General features: G+C 45.3%; 1 pseudogene across 1 annotated transcript; it reads right to left on the reverse strand.

Moving 5' to 3' along the window:
- Positions 1-834: 834 nt before the first annotated feature.
- PIPSL (PIP5K1A and PSMD4 like (pseudogene)) lies at positions 835-4610 on the reverse strand (annotated as a pseudogene). Its single transcript, NR_002319.2, has one exon. The product of NR_002319.2 is annotated as a PIP5K1A and PSMD4 like (pseudogene) (transcript).
- Between the last annotated feature and the right edge of the window lie 1063 nt (positions 4611-5673).

Raw genomic sequence — 5673 nt, forward strand, 5'->3', positions numbered from 1 at the left:
TTCAGTTATTGTGCTTGTTTCAAAATGCTTTAAAATTAGTTCCTGCATTGTATTGAGAGACATATCAACTGAACTCTAAGGACTGGTGAGGTCTTGCAAGCCCACCACTGCTTTCATTTGTTTGCAAACCCCATGGGACTCCTATTTCCAAGTGCTGGCAGTAGACAGAGCTGGCAAAATTTTGTTCTGACAGACTACTTTATTCTTGTCAAGGAAAGTTTGTCAGTGGAAACTATGTCAGTAGAGGAGCTTCTGGAGAATTCCAGCATCAGGGGCACTGGGTTGTTATTTCTGGCTTGGCTGTAGAATGAACCCTGGGACTATAGGCAAGTCACTTAATCTTTTAAAGTCTCACCTGAAAATAAGAATAATACCATGATTCTGTGACTCAAAGATACACATTTTCCCTGCATTTTATTATTCCTGAAATGGAATGTGTCTAAATAAACTTGCCAGCTTCCAGGCCCAGTATGGATACCCCAGTATGAGATATAAGTAACATTTGTGAATGTAGGTGAACTTGGAGGGCTACATAGAAGGTATCTGCTTATTTGATATCACATGGGATGAGTGATTTGCATTGATAGCAGCACACATGTTTATTTGCATTTCATGTTAAATAAATCAAAATTTACATTTATTCTGATCAAAGCAAATCTTTGTCTCTGGAGGACTGAATAAATATTTTCCTATTAACAAGCAACAGCCTCTAATAACTGTTATTAAATTGTCATCCTCAACTGATGACATATTATAATCAAGGAAAAGGGAAAATAATACCAGCAGGCTAATGTTGAAGATTCAATAAGATTAAGCTCATAAAATGCTTAGCATAGTGCCTGGTGCATAGGACGCACTCAAGAAATATTGTCATCATTGTCATCATCATCATCACCACCATACTTTATAACATATTACTCAACAATTGCTTTCCATAGCCATATTTCATTCACAACCCCTGTGTAAGGAAGGCCGTAAAGTCTGATGCACCCAGAGACATTGGACAAGTCACTTAGTCTGAATAGTGGTTCTCAACTTTTGCTGAATTTCAGAATTACCTTGTGAGCTTTTGAAAAATATCAGTACCTGAGTCCCAGGCCAATTAAATTAGAATCTTTAGGGGTTGGGTCCAAGTATTTGAAATGTTATTAAAGCTTCCTGGTGATTTTAATGTGAATTATTTTATGTTAGTGGTTCTCAACCTTAGCTGCACATGAGAGATCACACAGCTCAGATGAAGCTCATCAGCATTTCAAGGGGTCAGATTTAGGCATCAGGATTTCTTTTCTTTTCTTTTCTTTTCTTTCTTTCTTTCTTTCTTTCTTTCTTTCTTTCTTTCTTTCTTTCTTTCTTTCTTTCTTTTTTTTTTGAAGCAAAGAAGGAAAAAATCTTGCCAAGCTTTATTTAGGCTATAATGATTACAGATAACACACATCTAACCCTATATTCCGTGCTTCCCATGCAGTCCCCTGAGCAGGCTCAGCTACCCTTTCCCTCCAGTCTCACTTCTTGTCTTCCTCCTTCTTGTCCTTCTTGCTGTCCTTGGTGGCCTGGGAGGCCAGGGAGCCCACAGCATTTCGAATGGCTTCATTGTTGGGATCCACACCTGGGAGGTTCTCTAGGACACTCTGAAGGAACTCAGGGTCTTGCATCACGTCGTAATCATCCTCCTCCTTGGCTGGCTCAGATGTGTCCATGGCTGAGCTGGCATCAATGTCTGCTGATTCTGCCAGGCCAAACTCTGCTCCCTGCAGGGACATCTGCATGGCACAAACAATCTTCTCTTCCTCAGTCATACTGCTTAGGTCAGGAAGCCCAGTGTGGCCAAACTCTTGCTGGCTGATGGTCATCTTCAGCAGGGCATCGTCTGAGTCTTCAGTCCCAGTCGTAGCAATCCCGGCCTCAGCAGCAGAAGCTGCAGCTGCCTGCCGGGCCTCCTCCTCCTGCCGCTGCCGCTGCTCTTCCATAAATACACGAAGGACCAAGGCCAGCTCAGGATCAGCACTGGGATCTACTCCAAATTCAAAGTCACTGGCACCAAGACCCATCATGGCACCACCTTCACCAGCCAAAATCGGAAAACTGATGAGAGCATCAGCCAAACTGGGCCCAGGAGGCACTGTCACCAGATGAGAACCGGTTCCATCTTTGCCATTCAACGTGTTTACAAAGGCTGTCAGCTTTTCTGTGTTCACCTCCTCTTCCCCAAAATTGATAATGTCAACATTTACTTTCTCCTTCTTGAGGCATTTAGCCAGTTTCACCAGATTCTTCTCATTGTCCTCCACCGGGTTTCCCACAAAGGCAATGATGCGGATCTTGTGATTGTTGCCTTGTCGGTGCTTCAGAGCCAGATGGGCCACGTGGATGCCCATGCAGAAGGTGATCTTGCCCTTGGGTTGGACAGTATGTAGCTTGGACAGGATACGGCCAGTGTCTGGGGTGAGTGTGGTCAGCACTTCACAGTCATTATCCAGTGTGATAAGGCCCACGTTGTTCTCAGGGTTGCTGCGGGTCTTTGAATGACAAACTGTGTTGACAGCATCCTGCTGGGCCTGCAGCCGGGTGGGTAAGAAGTCTCCATTCCCCATATACTCACTGTTGTCCACACTTGTAGTTAGCATTTGCAAAGTCTCTTCAACTAGAGGTGAGAAACTGGGGTCAGGAGTAGGTGAGCCCTCACTGATTTCCTCCAAAGGTGGAGTCTGAGGTAAAACATCAGGACAACCAAGGTGAACACCTGGCTCCACTTCCGCCTTTGTTGTCACTTGTGCCTTGTGTTCCCCAGAGACCAATGGCTGGTAAGTAATGCAGGAGTTGCCACTGGAGCCTGCTCGCTGAGAGAAAGATGAGCCAGACCGAAGTTTTTTGGAAGGAGAAGGCTTCAAGGGAATCTTCTTAAATACCGTGTTGCACATGAAGCGCTGGAACCATTCAGCATAGAAGCCTGGGCGATGCACTGAGACAGTGTCTCCGTCATGTATCAGGGCTTTCCAAGAGTGCTCCAACTTCTTAACAAACCTGTAAGACTGTAGAATGTCAATGATGCCAATATAAAGCAGAAGCCTTTCCCCTTTACTATTCCGGGCAGGGATGCCACCCATATGGTCATCGGTCTCCATGGTGCCACCCCGTCGAGCCTCTCCCTGGATGGATTCCATGGCTGTGGAATACAGAGCCTTTTGGGGGGCTGGTCTTCGAGTATCAACTGAGTATTGTGTTTCGCTGCTTAAGGGCTCTCGTTGTGCATGATCTATATTATGGATTGACATCAAGAGGCTATAATCCATTATCTTGAAGCTCTGCAGCACCAAACAGTCACGCTGCAGGGTCTTACAGAGAGCGTTGTGCACGTCAGCATCCAAAAAAAGACCATCAGGGATGTCTTGTAAGAAGTCTAGGTCTTTAAATGTGGGAAGAGGCTTCTCTCGCTCTTTCTGGGAAGCCCGCCGCCTGTAGGTTGAGCCTTTGAGGTCATATTTGATATGCATTTTTACCGATCTTGGTAAAAGATTGTTCATCACCACAATCCGAATGTTCTTGCCACCTGTCTGCACACAGTACAGTCCATAGAATTTAGGCAGCAAAGTCCGAGGGTTCTGGTTGAGGTTTATGTAGTATCCTGGAAGCAGCTTCTGCAGAAACTCCGCTTCTTTATGTCGGACTGTCTTAACAATGAACTCATCGTCGCTGGACACATAGAACAGGGAACCACTAGCTCCAGAGCTACAGAGTTCAATCAGCGGCTCACTGCAGAGGGAATACAAGTAATCATCGGGCCGGATACCAAATAGCTCCCAGAAGTAGCGGAAGGCAACAGGTGCATAGGTCTTGAAACGAAAGGCATTGTAGTGATGAGCAGGGGTCAGGTTGCTCCCTTCACTGGGAAAGAAGATACTCTCCACCATGTGGAAATCTTGCATGAGGACATCACTCTCTGGTTTGGTACTCAGGCTCCCCACAGTGTGGGTAATGCCTAACTGGATGGCACCTTTCAAGGCTGATGAGGTTGTCCCTCCTGAGGAATCAACACTTCTATGGCCTATTTTCTTGATGGGCATGCCAGAGGCATAAGGCACCTCAGATGCCATGGGACTCTTGATTCCAGATGCTGAGGACGAGGTACAGGAAGGGACCGCGGGATCAACGGAGAAAAACCGACCGAAGACAACGGCCCGGAGGAGGCCGACGCCATCTTGGCAGCCCCCTCCCCCTCAAGGGCCTGGCTCTCTTTCAATCCGGCTCTTCCTCTTCTCGGAATCGAATCTTCCCAATGTCTCTTTATAGAACCCACGTTCTGTGGGCCCCCTCCCCGCCCCCTCCAGGGCTCCCTCAGACAAGTCGAGCCGGCTGCTGGACCAGCTCAAGTCCACACCATTCGCCTGGCATGGGGGAGAACTCACGTCTCGCACCCCCTCCACAAGTTTAACTGCTTTCCACAGGGGATACTTTCCCCTTTCACAGAAGAGTAAGCTTAAGCTGGCTGCTGGGACCTTGCGTCCAGACCAAGCCACATCTGAAAAAAAAAACGAGGCATGAAAAGTCCCAGAGGAGCAAACGCCCCCTCTCCGTCCTCCCTAGCCACCGCCTGTTAATCGCCCAACCCGGCCAGGATTTCTTTTCTGAGTAGTGGATCCCATACATCAGAATCATCTGGGGCACTTGTAATTTAATCCAAACTCATGTGCTCCAGTCCCCCCAATTTTTATTTAAGTCTGGGGTGAGGGCCCTACAATCTGTGCTTTTAAAAAGTTCCCGTTTTTCTCTGGTATAGAGTTTGAGAATTGCCAGTCTAATAAGCCTCTGACTGGTGGTGATGGTTGCCAGTCTGATAAGGCCCCACCTCCAACATTGGGGATCATATTTTGATGTGATATTTGGGGGGGGGAATATCAAAACTATATCAGAGACTGTTCATTCAGCAAGCACTATAATGCTATTTACCTGCAGCACCTTACACTGTACCTGGCACACAGGAGATGCCCAGTGAATATTTCTGAATGGATGAAATGCCTGCTGTATTAGTCAGGGTTCTCTTAGAGGGACAGAACGAATAGGAGATATATATATATATATACATATATATATACTATATATATAATATATACACATATATATACTATATATATAGTATATATACATATATACTATATATATAATATATACATATATATACTATATATATAATATATATACATATATATACACAATATATATAAATATATGTACATATATATATAAAAGTTTATTAAGTATTAACTCACACAATCACAAGGCCCCACAATAGGCTGTCTGCAAACTGAGGAGCAAGGAGAGCCAGTCCGAGTCCCAAAACTGAAGAACTTGGAGTCCGATGTTCAAGGGCAGGAAGCATCCAGCAGGGGAGAAAGATGTAGGCTGGGAGGCTAGACCCGTGTCTTCTTTTCACGTTTTTCTGCCTGCTTTATATTCGTTGGAAGCTGATTAGATTGTGCCCACCAGTTTAAGGGCCCACTGATTCAAATGTTAATCTCTTTTGGCAACACCAAAACAGGCACACCCAGGATTAATACTTTGTATCCCTCCATCCAATCAAGTTGACACTTACTGTTAACCATCACACCTGCTATAAGCCAAGTATGATACCAGGTCCTGGAGATACAGAGATAAATATGATAGGTCAGCTCCTGAACA

This window comes from Homo sapiens, chromosome 10 (genome assembly GCF_000001405.40).
Source record: "Homo sapiens chromosome 10, GRCh38.p14 Primary Assembly".
NCBI classification, from domain to species: Eukaryota; Metazoa; Chordata; class Mammalia; order Primates; family Hominidae; genus Homo; species Homo sapiens.